The 12,755-nt window shown below is 49.1% G+C and overlaps 10 annotated features.

Annotated features, from left to right (window-relative positions):
• Nucleotides 6,715–7,741: an enhancer, noted in NCBI's record as "CNE5 PCR-amplified transgene fragment". NCBI's record gives its function as "activates a beta-globin promoter in mouse E11.5-E12.5 neural tissue, especially in hindbrain {active_cell/tissue: hindbrain(E11.5-E12.5) | neural(E11.5-E12.5)}" and the evidence as "EXISTENCE:transgenic organism evidence [ECO:0001131][PMID:23575226]".
• Nucleotides 6,715–7,902: a biological region, named in NCBI's record as "CNE5 enhancer downstream of SHOX". NCBI's record gives its function as "regulatory_interactions: SHOX".
• Nucleotides 6,716–7,741: an enhancer, noted in NCBI's record as "CNE5 reporter construct fragment". NCBI's record gives its function as "activates a SHOX or beta-globin promoter in ovo in chicken limb buds, in day 2 and day 3 zebrafish embryo brain, skin, heart, fins, muscle, notochord and eye, and in human U2OS osteosarcoma cells {active_cell/tissue: limb bud | brain(d2-d3) | skin(d2-d3) | heart(d2-d3) | fin(d2-d3) | muscle(d2-d3) | notochord(d2-d3) | eye(d2-d3) | U2OS}" and the evidence as "EXISTENCE:reporter gene assay evidence [ECO:0000049][PMID:17200153, PMID:22791839, PMID:26631348]" and "EXISTENCE:transgenic organism evidence [ECO:0001131][PMID:21731768]".
• Nucleotides 6,726–6,775: a conserved region, noted in NCBI's record as "conserved region; CRCNE00011075 more deeply conserved sub-region". NCBI's record gives the evidence for it as "EXISTENCE:sequence alignment evidence [ECO:0000200][PMID:21731768]".
• Nucleotides 6,913–6,972: a conserved region, noted in NCBI's record as "conserved region; CRCNE00011096 more deeply conserved sub-region". NCBI's record gives the evidence for it as "EXISTENCE:sequence alignment evidence [ECO:0000200][PMID:21731768]".
• Nucleotides 7,076–7,362: a conserved region, noted in NCBI's record as "conserved region; CRCNE00011097 more deeply conserved sub-region". NCBI's record gives the evidence for it as "EXISTENCE:sequence alignment evidence [ECO:0000200][PMID:21731768]".
• Nucleotides 7,186–7,902: an enhancer, noted in NCBI's record as "NANOG-H3K27ac-H3K4me1 hESC enhancer chrY:701295-702011 (GRCh37/hg19 assembly coordinates)". NCBI's record gives its function as "activates a minimal SCP1, AML or CMV promoter by ChIP-STARR-seq in primed H9 embryonic stem cells {active_cell/tissue: H9 hESC(primed)}" and the evidence as "EXISTENCE:reporter gene assay evidence [ECO:0000049][PMID:30033119]".
• Nucleotides 7,412–7,576: a conserved region, noted in NCBI's record as "conserved region; CRCNE00011098 more deeply conserved sub-region". NCBI's record gives the evidence for it as "EXISTENCE:sequence alignment evidence [ECO:0000200][PMID:21731768]".
• Nucleotides 7,589–7,648: a conserved region, noted in NCBI's record as "conserved region; CRCNE00011099 more deeply conserved sub-region". NCBI's record gives the evidence for it as "EXISTENCE:sequence alignment evidence [ECO:0000200][PMID:21731768]".
• Nucleotides 9,689–10,189: an enhancer, noted in NCBI's record as "H3K4me1 hESC enhancer chrX:753798-754298 (GRCh37/hg19 assembly coordinates)". NCBI's record gives its function as "activates a minimal SCP1, AML or CMV promoter by ChIP-STARR-seq in naive H9 embryonic stem cells {active_cell/tissue: H9 hESC(naive)}" and the evidence as "EXISTENCE:reporter gene assay evidence [ECO:0000049][PMID:30033119]".

The following is a 12,755-nucleotide window of genomic DNA, read 5'->3' on the forward strand; positions in this document are numbered from 1 at the left end:
AAATGTCTAATTTTACTTCCTGTCTCTCTGGATCTGCCTATTCAAGTTTGTTTCTACAAATGGAACCCTACGTTATGTGGTTTTTTGTGTGGCTGGCTTATTTCACGGAGAGTCTTTTTCTTTTTCTTTATTTTTTTTTTTATTTGTTTATTTTTTTGAGACGAAGTTTCACTCTTGTCGCCCAGGCTGGAGTGCAGTGGCGTGATCTCGGCTCACCACAACCTCCGCCTCCCAGGTTCAAGTGATTCTCCTGCCTCAGCCTCCCGAGTAGCTGGGATTACAGGCGTGCACCACCACGCCAAGATAATTTTGTATTTTTAGTAGAGATGGGGTTTCACCATGTTGATCAGGCTGGTCTCGAACTCCTGACCTCCAGTGATCTGCCCGCCTCAGCCTCCCAAAGTGCTGGGATTGTAGGTGTGAGCCACCGCATCCAACCAAGCCTTCTTTTTCATGGCTAAATAATATTTCATAGTACAAATGGAATACAATCTATTTGTTGATTCTTCTGTTGATGGATATTTGGGTTTTTTTTTTTTAAGCTATTGTGAATAATGCTGTTAGGAAGTTTGTGGACAAGTACCTGTTTGAGTCATTTTCCAATTCTTTTTTTTTTTTTTTTTTTTTGAGACAGAGTCTCACTCTATTGCCCAGGCTGGAGTGCAGTGGTGTGATCTCAGCTCACTGCAACATCCTCCTCTGAGGCTCAATTGATTCTCCTGCCTCAGCCTCCCGAGTAGTTGGGATTACAGGCACCTGCCATCATGCCTGGCTAACTATTATTATTATTATTATTTTTGAGACGGAGTCTCTCTGTGTCTCCCAGACTGGAATGCAGTGGCGTGATCTCGGCTCACTGCAACCTCCACCTCCCGGGTTCAAGCGATTCTCCTGCCTCAGCCTCCCGAGTAGCTGGGATTACAGGCACCTGCCATCATGCCTGGCTAACTATTATTATTATTATTATTATTATTATTAAGACAGTGTATCTCTGTGTCTCCCAGGCTGGAATGCAGTGGCATGATCTCAGCTCACCGCAACCTCCTCCCCTGAGGTTCAATTGATTCTCCTGCCTCAGCCTCCCGAGTAGCTGGGATTACAGGTGCACGCAACCAAGCCCAGCTAATTTTTGTATTTTTAGTAGAGACGGGTTTTCACCATGTTGTCCAGGCTGGTCTTGAACTCCTGACCTCAGATGATCCACCCACCTCGGCCTCCCAAAGTGCTGGCATGACAGGTGTGAGCCAGCAAACCCTGCCCTTCTCTTCCTTTCTTTGCTTCAGGACTTATTGACAAATACAGCCACAGGGATCAAACACACGGGGAAAAGCATCCTTATTTTTTTCTTCTTTCCCCAACGGATAAAGGTACTGATCCTCTCAGATCTGGATCTGAGAGCAGTTAAGCCTCCTCGTTAGTTCTCTTAAGTTGAACTTGCTCTCCTTCTAATGAGGAACAAGGAGGGGTGAAAACGGTGGACATTCCCCTTGTCGGGGAGACCTGACCCATTCAGCTTCCTCTGAGCAGGCCGGTTGTCCCAAAGACAGACCCCCAGAGGGTCTAACCCACGTTCTCTGAGAGTCAGGTCATTCCTGGGGGCACTTGCAGGGGCCGTCAAGAGGAACCAGGAGCACTCATCGGGGAGGACTCCCGGAGTGCAAGCACGAAGAAGGAGTTTCCCCGCTTATTCCAGCAGACACCGCCCTGCGCAGCCTAACGCAAGATCACCATGTTACCTGTAGGCACCCATCTCCATGCCTGTCCTTGCAATGCGATCTTTCTCTCTCTTTCTCTTTCTTTCTTTCTTTTTCTTTCTTCCTTCCTTCCCTCCCTCCCCTCCCTTCCTCCCTCCCTTTCTCTCTTTCCTTTCTGTCTTCCTTTCCTTCTTTCTTTGTTATTTTCTTTCTTTCTTCCTTTCTTTCTTTGTTGCTCTCTTTCTTTTCTTTCTTTCTTTCTTTCTTTCTTTCTTTCTTTCTTTCTTCCTTCCTTCCTCTTTCTTTCTCTTTCTTTCTTTCTTTCTCTCAGATGGAGTCTTGCTCTGTCGCCCAGGCTGGAGTGCAGTGGCGCGATCTCAGCTCACTGCAAGCTCCGCCTCCCGGGTTCACGCCATTCTCCTTCCTCCGTCTCCCGAGTAGCTGGGATTACGGGCACCCGCCACCTCGCCCGGCTAACTTTTTTGTATGTTTAGTAGAGACGGGGTTTCACCATGTTAGCCGGGATGGTCTCGAACTCCTGACCTCAGGTGATCCACCCGCCTCAGGCCTCCCAAAGTGCTGGGAGGACAGGCGTGAGCCACCGCGCCAGGCCAACAATGGGAGTTTTCTTTACTTCACTTCTTTTTTGCATGGAGAGGCTTATAATTGGATACACTTGGGGCTTATAACTGGATACACTTGCAGCTTATAACTCCATACACTTGCGGCTTATCACTCGATATAGTTATCTTCCAGCACATGGACTCCGCATCACACAGGGATATGGCTGCAACACAGCAGCTACACATACTCATGTAGGTGAGAGGGATTCCGCAAAACCTCAACATTTGGAAAAGAAAAAAAAAAAAAAACAAAAAAAAGCCAGGCGCCGTGGCTCACACCTGTCATCCCAGCATTTTGGGAGGCCAAGGAAGGTGGATCACCTGAGGTCAGGAGTTTGAGACCAGCCTGGACAACATGGCGAAACCCCATCTCTACTAAAAATACAAAAATTAGCTGGGTGTGCTGGCGTGCGCGTGTAATCCCAGCTATTCGGGAGGCTGAGGCAGGGGAATTGCTTGAGCCCGGGAGGCGGAGATTGCAGTGAGCTGAGATTGTGCTACTGCACTCCAACCTGGGCGACATGGTGAGACTCTGTCTCAAAAAAAAAAAGACAAAATGAACAAAACAAAGAAACAAACAAAAAAACACATGCAATTGTTTACAACGCCATTGGGGTCTGGAAATTGTCTGTTTCTTGCTGAAGCTGACACTGTTGAGATCACTAAGGCAGCAAGCAAAGAACAGAGCCTCAGATGCACTTCACAAGCTATGCCATTTCCACAGTGAAAACAGGGAGGGGTCTGGAGTGCTGAAAACTTCCATGCCTTCCTTCAGTGCTAGGTGGTCCGGCTGCCCTAACATCACCCAGCTAGCAAGGTGTGGTGCCTGCTTTCAGCTCAAGTCTGCAAGCCACACCAGGCCTGTGCATTTGTGAGTGAACACAAGACATTAGCTTAGTTCACCCCTGAATACGGTGCAAGCACCTGCTCGTACAAACGCAGTATAGTACTGATGGCTTCAAATGATCTATTATCTATTAGACTTATCTACTGATGGTTATCTATCCACTGAGACTGGCGTTTCAGGAATATCCACTCAACCAGCTGTAGCCAAGGGGCCCACGGTGACTGCTCACTGCCTGCATTGACTGTGACCCAAGCCTGCTCTCCAACATTCCTGGGACTCACTTTCCCCAACTGTGGAGGAGAAGAGGATTTAACCTGCAGGGTGGTTATGAGAATGTAACACTTTTAAAAAGCACCTGCCCAAGGGTGGTGGCTCACGCCTGTGATCCCAGCACTTTGGGAGGCCGAGGCGGGTGGATCACTTGAGGTCAGGAGTTCGAGACCAGCGTGGCCAACATGGTGAAACCCCGTCTCTACTAAAAGTACAAAATTATCTGGGCATGGTGGCGGGCACCTGTAATCCCAGCTACTTGGGAGGCTGAGGCAGGAGAATCGCTTGAACCCAGGAGGCAGAAGTTGCAGTGAGCTGAGATCGAGCCACTGCACTCCAGCCTGGGCAATAGAGTGAAACTCCATCTCAAAAAAAAAAAAAAAAAAACTAACTGCCTGGTCCATCACCTGCCCATGTGTGTTTGGGGCTATTGGGAACCCCTTCTTAGTGATTGGAAAGACATTTTCATGATTTCTCCAAGCAAAATCAGGAGGATTAAGGCCAATAGCGTCAGAGGCGTTCGAACGAAAGCGACTTCATCTTGAGTGAGGGCTCGGAAAATGAGGCTGAGGCTTGCTGGCTGCATTCCCAGAAAGTTAAACATTCCTAGCCTCTATGTATTTATGGTTAAGAGAACAAATTAGGCCAGGCACAGTGGCTCACGCCTGTAATCCCAGCACTTTGGGAGGTTGAGGCGGGTGGATAATAAAGTCAAGAGTTCAAGACCATCCTGGCTAACACGGTGAAACCCCCTCTCTACTAAAAATAGAAAAATTAGCCAGTCGCGGTGGCTGGTGCCTGTAATTCCAGCTACTAGGGAGACTGAGGCAGGAGACTCGCTTGAACCCAGGAGGCAGAGGTTGCAGTGAGCCGAGATCGCTCCACTGCGCTCCAGCCTGGGTGATAGAGTAAGACTCTGTCTCAAAAAACAAAACAAAAGAGTAAAAAAAAAAAAAAGGAATAAATTAATAATGTTTACTAAATAGACCCCGACTTGGGACTATCCAGCTATCTCAATATCTGAAGAATGAAGGTATTCCTGATTTTGCTTTAAAGATAATGATATTGATTCTTGCAACATATAGTAATTAAGAACATTAATCCTTTATCACAAACCCTCCTAGCAGAGCATACGTCCCCAAGATATTTTTTTATCCTATATATAAACAACTATTGCATCTGCGGTGGAAGCTTCCCCCTCTCAGTTTCAGAAATGCCCTACTCTGTCTATGGAGGAGCTGTTCTTTTACCAATTTAGTTTCCTTTTTTTTTTTTTTTTTTTTTTTTGAGAGAGAGTCTCGCTCTGTCACCCAGGCTGGAGTGCAGTGGTGCAATCTCAGCTCACTGCAACCTCCACCTCCCAGGTTCAAGCGATTCTCCTGCCTCAGCCTCCCGAGTAGCTGGGACTACAGGCACCAGCCACCACGCCCGGCTAATTTTCCTATTTTTAATAGAGACCAGGTTTCACCATGTTGGCCATGCTGGTCTCGAACCCCTGGCCTCAGGTGATCCACCCGCCTGGGCCTCCCAAAGAGCTGGGATTACAGGCGTGAGCCACCGCCCCCGGCCTTTTTTTTTTTTTTTTTTTTGAGACAGAGTCTCACTGTGTCGCCCAGGCTGGAGTGCAATGGTGCAATCTCAGCTCACTGCAACCTCCGCCTCCCTGGTTCAAGCGATTCTCCTGCCTCAGCCTCCTGAGTAGCTATTGATTACAGATGCCCACCACCATGCCCAGCTAATTTTTCTATTTTTAATAGAGACCAAGTTTGACCATGTTGGCCAGGCTGGTCTCGAACTCCTGGCCTCAGGTGATCTGCCCGCCTCGGCCTCCCAGAGTGCTGGGATTACAGGCGTGAGCCACCGTGTCTGGCCCCAATTTACTTTCTTAATAAAGTTCCTTTAATTTGCATTACGGGCTTTCCCTGAAGTCTTTCTTGCACAAGATCCAAGAACCTTCTCTTGCCGTCTGGATCGGGACGCTTTTCCTGTAACAATAGGGCCGAACACGCTAAGAGGGGAAAGGTGGAGAGATGAGGCTTCCGTATGGGCACTGAGATGGGTCTTCAGCGTCGGGGAGCGGAGAACGGTTGGGGTCTGAACTACAGTGTCTGCCCACCTCCCCATGAGGAGCTCCAAAGACAAGCTGAACCCCTAAGCTAGTACCAGCCCCAAACTCTGAAGGCCGTTCGTATATTCCCTTTATCCACCGGAGGTCCAGGTGGAAGCAGAAAACAGAAAATATTGTCCTTTGTGGCCCGAAGGGAAGATGCCGAGGCCCCGTGACTCTGCTGAGCAGGGGAACCCCTCACCAGGACTCATCCCCACAGCCGTTTACAAGTCCTCGTTCCCCCAGACCCCCCAGTCCCTCCTGCAACTCAACCTGACCCGCACTCACTCAATGCTGCGGATCAAGCCTTCTGGGCCTTTTGTTTGCTTTTCCACACACAGTCTGAGCTGCTCAATTAAAGCATAAAAACCATTAGTGAGCCGGGGAGGCCCCTGGGGAGGCTCAGCCAGTGAACTCCCTGGCCTGTTTCCCCAAGGCAAGCCGAGTGGGCCTCCATCTGTCAGCACTGAGAGGTGGCCGCCACACCTCCAAAACCTCCAAACGGCTTCCCGGGGGACTGAGGGAGGAGATAAATTGAGATTAAAAAAAAAAAACAAAACAAAACATGGCACTATTTTTTTTGAGACAGAGTCTCGCTCTGTGGCCCAGGCTGGAGTGCAACGGCGTGATCTCGGCTCACTGCAACGTCCGCCTCTCGGGTTCAAGCGATTCTCCTGTCTCGGTTCCCAGAGTACCTGGGATGACAGGCACCCGCCACCACGCACGGCTAATTTTTGTATTTTTAGTAGAGACGGGGTTTCAGCGTGTTGGCCAGGCTGGTCTCAAACGCCTGACCGCAGGTGATCCACCCACCTCAGCCTCCCAAAGTGCTGGGATGACAGGCACCTGCCACCACGCACGGCTAATTTTTGTATTTTTAGTAGAGACGGGGTTTCAGCATGTTGGCCAGGCTGGTCTCGAACGCCTGACCCCAAGTGATCCGCCAGCCTCGGCCTCCCAAAGTGCTGGGATGACAGGCGTGAGCCCACAAGCCCGGCCAAGATTTAAAAAAAAAAAAAAAAAAAAAAAAAAAGTCACTGTTGAAATACTGGCACGTAGAATGCCAGAGATGAGGAGGATTCTAGGTAGGACAACAGCAACCTTCGCTCCCGGACAACAGGTAGCAACATCGTCCTCATATCCCTGGCCCTCTTATCGTCACCTTCCCTTCCACGCCTCCCTCGGGAGCGATTGTATCTATTGTCTCCCAGCCCCGATGATGGATGCTCAGGGCACTCATCTCTCTGAGTGATCAGTATTTTCCGTGTTCTTCTCAGAGTCTCTGACACTGTGGGCCGGGCCCTGGCTACAGCTGACGAGTGTGTGTGTGTGTGTGTGTGTGTGTCTGTGTGTGTGTGTGGGGGGGGGGGTTCATTTACATTTCAATCTTCACCTCATGAATGTAAAAGCTCAGCCGGCAAATTAATAACAGGGTGATGAGGACGCCTCCCTGCACTGGGAAGGGGGGCACCACCTCCCCTCGTTTCCAACCCCTAGAAGCCGACAGCCCCTTCCTGGCCATTGTGTTCGGCAGCCGTCTCATTTACCGGCCCGCGGTGAATGACATTACAGAGAAAGGCATATCCAGAGTGACACAAATGTATTTCTGTCCCAAGCAAGGCAGTCTATTTTCATAGAATCAAGGGGCTATTTGTCTGGGGACGATTTAGTTTCCATGAAAAATTAAAATGGTTTTCTGTGCTGCTATAGGGTGGCGAAATTTAATTTGTCACTCGTTTACTAAAGCAGGTATAAAAAGGAGAAGAATTGGATGTCTGATGGGCTGAAATTGGCGACGTCCCTCGGTTTGGTCTCCCAAGGCCTGGGGACGCAGAGGCCTGTCCCGGCCACCCCCAACGCCCCCCTCTCCCCACCCTCGGAGGACCTGGTCATCTTAAACCAACTTACAGAAAACCTTTGGGGAGGCTGTGCCAATCACCCGGAAAACCACGTTCCTATCGATCCCCTGTCTGCGTGATTTATGGCTTCATTTTACGGTAATTGAGAATTAGTGAGGAGATGAGCAGGACTGCACGTGGTGACACGGGGTCCACATCTCATTGAATTGCGGGATGACGTGGAAATTAATGTGACACACGGGAGATGTGGAACAGGGGGCCGTGTGTCTCCAGCATCACACGGGCGTCCCCGGTCACCAGCACCCCCTCCCCGGTCTGCCTTCGAAGGCAGGATGAGGATGATTGATCCGAATCGGTTTCAATCCGTCTCAACTGCAGCCCGGCCGATGGACGGGACACTCACAATTGGATTGAGCCTCCTACGAACAAAGTTCATCGACAGCCACCCGCAGGTCAATGGCTGCAGCTCACCAGCGTGGCACACGTATACGTATGTAACTAACCTGCACAATGTGCACATGTACCCTAAAACTTAAAGTATAATCATAATAAAATAAAATAAAGGAAAAAAAATAGGAGGTCTCGTGTCATCCGACCGCCTCAAAATGAAGTTTTGAAAATCTACGTCTTGCAGCCGACATGCCAAATCTCTAAAGCCAACCAACAGTGGCAAAGTCGAATTACAGATGGACTCTGCTGGGCTGTTTACAGGATAATCGGCTGCTCTGATCGTGAATAAAGGTGCTAACTACTCCCCACTGTGCAGAGAGAAAAAGGTTCTAACTACCCCCACCCTACAGAGAGAAATGTCTGCGTCCCGTAAGGGCAGGAGGGGTGACAGAGGAGATCTGGGAAGCTCTAGGGGTGAAAAGAGGCTTATGTCTGGCCTCAGCCATCTCTCCAAAGCCTTACAGAGGCCTCCTCTGCAGATTTGCACACCTAAAGCTCGGCGGGGTTTCAAGACCGTTAAGAATCTCTTTTGCATTTGAACAGGGACGTAGGTGTGAACGTAGAGTGTCCAGCAGAAAAAAAAACAAACAAACAAAAAAAAAAAAAAACGGAGCTGTGGAAAGTTCCGGAGAAGCTCACAGTGTAACAGTGGGAAATTCTTCACCTTCTGGTGCTCGGCAAATTGTTTGACAACATCTGGGTAGAAAATGGAGAGCAGAGTCTGTGAACGCTCCCCTCAAGAAAACCCGCTCATGTGTGTTTGGAAAATGCAATGGGGTTGGGATCATGGCTTTTTCTTATAAAAACACTGGGTGGCCCGGCGTGGTGGCTCATGTCTGTCATCCCAGCACTTTGGGAGGCCGAGGTGGGTGGATCACCTGAGGTCAGGGGTTCGAGACCAGCCTGGCCAACATGGTGAAACCCCGTCTCTATTAAAAATACAAAAATCAGCTGGGTGTGGTCACTGGCTCCTGTAATCCCAACTACTAGGGAGACTGAGGCAGGAGTATCGCAGGAGACTAGAGACATGGTGAAACCCTGTCTCTATTAAAAATACAAAAAATTAGCTGGGTTTGTGGCCTGTAATCCCAGCTGCTCTGGAAGCTGAGGCAGGAGAATCGCTTGAACCTGGGAGGTGGAGGTTGCAGTGAGCTGAGATCGCGCCACTGCACTCCAGCCTGGGTGACAGAGGGAGACTACGTCTCAAAAAAAAAAAAAAAAAAAAGCTAACAAAAAACTAAAAACAGGACTCTAACTTTCCCTGTTTTCCTCTCACCAACAGTATTAAAGCATTCCTATTTCCCCACATCCTCGCCAGCATCTGTTGTTTCCTGACTTTTTATTTTTTTATTTTTATCTTTTATTTTTTTGAGACGGAGTTTTGCTCTTGTTGCCCAGGCTGGAGTGCAGTGGCACGATCTCAGCTCACCGCAACCTCTGCCTCGCGGGTTCAAGCGATTCTCCTGCCTCAGCCTCCCCAGTAGCTGGGATTACAGGTGCCCACCACCATGTCCGGCTAGTTTTTTGTATTTTTAGTAGAGTTGGGGTTTCTCCATGTTGGCCACGCTGGTCTCGAACTCCTGACCTTGTGATCCGTCTGCCTCAGCCTCCTGAAGTGCTGGGATGACAGGCGTGAGCCATGGCGCCCGTCCTACACACTTCTTATGATAGGAGCTGAGTAAGGGCTTCCAAGGTGTTTTCCTGTACTAAGCACTTTGTGTTTTTGAGGCAGAGTCTCACTCTGTCATCCAGGCTGGAGTCCAGAGGTGCAATCTCGGCTCACTGCAAACTCTGCCTCCTGGGTTCAAGCGACTCTCCTGCCTCAGCCTCCCGAGTAGCTGGGACTACTGGCACCCGCCATCACGCCCGGCTAACTTTTGTATTTTTAGTAGAGGTGAGGTTTCACCATGTTGGCCAGGCTGGTCTCGAACTCCTGACCTTGTGATCCACCCACCTCAGCCTCTCAAAGTGCAGAGATGACAGGCGTGAGCCATGGCGCCCGTCCTACACACTTCTTATGATGGGAGCTGATGTGTACAAGGGCTTCCAAGGTGTTTTCCTGTGTTTTTTTGAGGCACAGTCTCACTCTGTCATCCAGGCTGGAACCCAGTGGTGCCAACCAGGCATGACTGAGGCATTAAACAGAAGGAAAACCTGTCCCTTGCACCAGTAACGTGATTTGCAAAATCCGATCAGCTATGTGCCTATCGCATACGTGGGTCTCTTATCACATTGGCGGGGACCACAAGCCCTAATGCAATGCAGGAGGTGCGCTAACGAGACAGGGGAGTCGCTAACGCAATGATCCCGCAGTCAGGGCGAGGCGAGGGGCTGCCCGTCGTGGCCAGAGGTTCCCGGAATAAATTAGCCAAGCGGAGTTGCTGAGTGCGGGAGGAGGATGAATTAGAAGTCCGACGCTGTGTGGGGAAAATAGGCTCCACCTCCCCGAGCTCAAGCCTTCCCGGGCGCTGGGACTACAGGTTTGCACCAACACACCTGGCTAATTTTTTTAAATTGTTTCTGTTTTGTAGAAACAAGGTCTCAGTATGTTGCTCAGGCTGGTCTCAAACTCCTGGCCTCAACTGATCCTCCCACCTCAGCCTCCCAAAGTGTTGGGATCACAGGTGTGAGCCACGGTGCCCAGCCCAGGAATGAGGTTTAATTCTTCACAACGCGTTATTCCAGGTCAAAGGTAGTCCCACCCCCAGCTAAATCTCCATGGGTAGAAACTGAAATGTCTTCCTTTGGAAAAAGCAGCTAAGCCAGCAGAACTCTGATCATTGGCTGTGGTGGTAGCTTGACTATGTCCCCCGAAAGAGACAGGATCATAAGGTCAGGAGTTCGAGACCAGCCTGGCCAACATGGTGAAACCCCGTCTCTACTAAAAATATAAAAAATTAGCCGGACACGGGCTGTTTTAACCTGTGCTACCTATGAGTGGGACTTTATTTGGAAATAAGGTTTCTGCAGTTGGAATTAAGTGGGGGAATTTGAGATGAGATCATCCTGCATTAGGGGGACCCTAAACCCAATGAGGAATGTCCTTCTAAGAGACAGAAGAGGAAACACAGACACAGAGGAGAAGGCCACGTAGAGACGGAGGCAGAGACTGCAGTGAGGCGGCCACAAGCCCAGGGATGCCTGGAGCCCCCAGGAGCTGGGAGAGTTAGGAAGGACCCTCCCCTACAGCCTCCAGAGGGAACACGGCCCTGAGACACCTTCTTCTCAGACTGCTGGATGCCAGGACTGGGACAGGAAAAATTCTTGTTGTAAAAGCTTCTGGGTTTGGGGTCATTTGTGTGGCAGACGTAGGATGTCAGTCACCAGGAGATCACGGATCAAAGCCGAGAAACACTGGGATGAGGGCCCTAGGTTATCCACAGGGGCCTCGATGAATGAGTTGGATGTTTCCTCATGTGTAGCAGTGCACAGAAGGGCAGGAGGAACTGGGTACCAGGCTGACTTTACCTTTCGCGTAAAAGCCCGTCCAAGAGTCACACCGAATGTGTTTCTGGTTGTTTTTTTTTTTTTTTTTTTTGGAGATGGAGTCTCGCTCTGTCGCCCAGGCTGGAGTCCAGTGGTGCCATCTCAGCTCACTGCAACCTCCGCCTCCCGGGTTCAAGCGATTCTCCTGCCTCAGCCTCCCGAGTAGCTGGGACTACATGCACCTGCCACCACAGCTGGCTAATTTTCATATTTGTAGTAGAGACGGGGTTTCGCCATGTTGGCCAGGCTGGTCTTGAACTCCTGACCTCAGGTGATCTGCCTGCCTCGGCCTCCCAAAGTGCTGGGATGTTGCAGGCGTGAGCCAACGTGCCCAGTGTGTTTCTGTTAAGACACGCGAAGCCGTGGTTCTCCCCTGGGCTCCGTCCTCTTGCTTTTGCTTTTTGAGTTCTCCAGTAATACGAGTACCCTTTACTTTTTGTATCCCATTTTTTATCTATTTTTTTCTCTCTTTTGGGTGTCTGCAACAACCTGGCTGGCTCGGCTCTCGGCTCTGCAAGACAAATGTTCAGCTTCCTCGCCAGAAAAGAAAAAAGAAAAAAAAAATTCTGGACGGCGTTTCTTGCCTTAAATAAAAAACCGCTTATTCACCTCAATGTGGGAGAAAGCTATGATTATCACACCTATATTTCGGGCCCAGGGTAAGCCGAGAATGTCTCTCTAGAATCCCATAAATCCAACCCTGAAAGGATGAATTCCTCAAACATGAAATTGGGTCCTCACCTGCTTTTCATTATAGGTTTTCAAGAAGTAAATGGTGTTTCCGTTTGTTATTTATATGCTCGTGGAGTGTAATGGTTGTAATGATTAATACTGAATTTCTGAAATTATTCTAAAAAGACACTTCATAAATATTGAACAGAGCTATTATCCGCATGTATCTCCATTTATTTTATTAAAATGGAAATTCAGCAATCATCAATAAAAGCATACTGTGTATTTTGAGAGGGCCCTGGGGAATGGAGTAGAATACAGAATTTTTTTTTTTTTAAACTTCACTACCCTCTCTTCTCTTTCACAGCTGCATTTGAACCCAGTACAATAACTCTGATGATTTCAGGGGAATGTCCCCTTTGGTGGTTTTAGGGGACTGTCCCCAAGGGTTATGTCGACGAATCCGGGAAAAATTTGATCAATAACTGGATGTGAACAGGGATATTCAGAACGAGCCCTGTTTGGACTTGAATTTTCCAACAGGGCAGAAGCATTTGCAAATATTGATAACATACGTTTCCAATCAGACCTGAATTTTGGATATTTTACTTGGAAGACTTCTCTGGAAGTTTGGAGGTCTTCAAAGACAAAATCTTGCTAATCCTCTCACTGGGGCTGAGACAGAGGACAGGATTTCTTTCAGCTTTTTTTTTTTTCTTTTTTTGAGATGGAGTCTTGCTCTGTCGC

The sequence above is a fragment of the Homo sapiens genome, chromosome Y (genome assembly GCF_000001405.40).
Source record: "Homo sapiens chromosome Y, GRCh38.p14 Primary Assembly".
Lineage (NCBI taxonomy): Eukaryota > Metazoa > Chordata > Mammalia > Primates > Hominidae > Homo > Homo sapiens.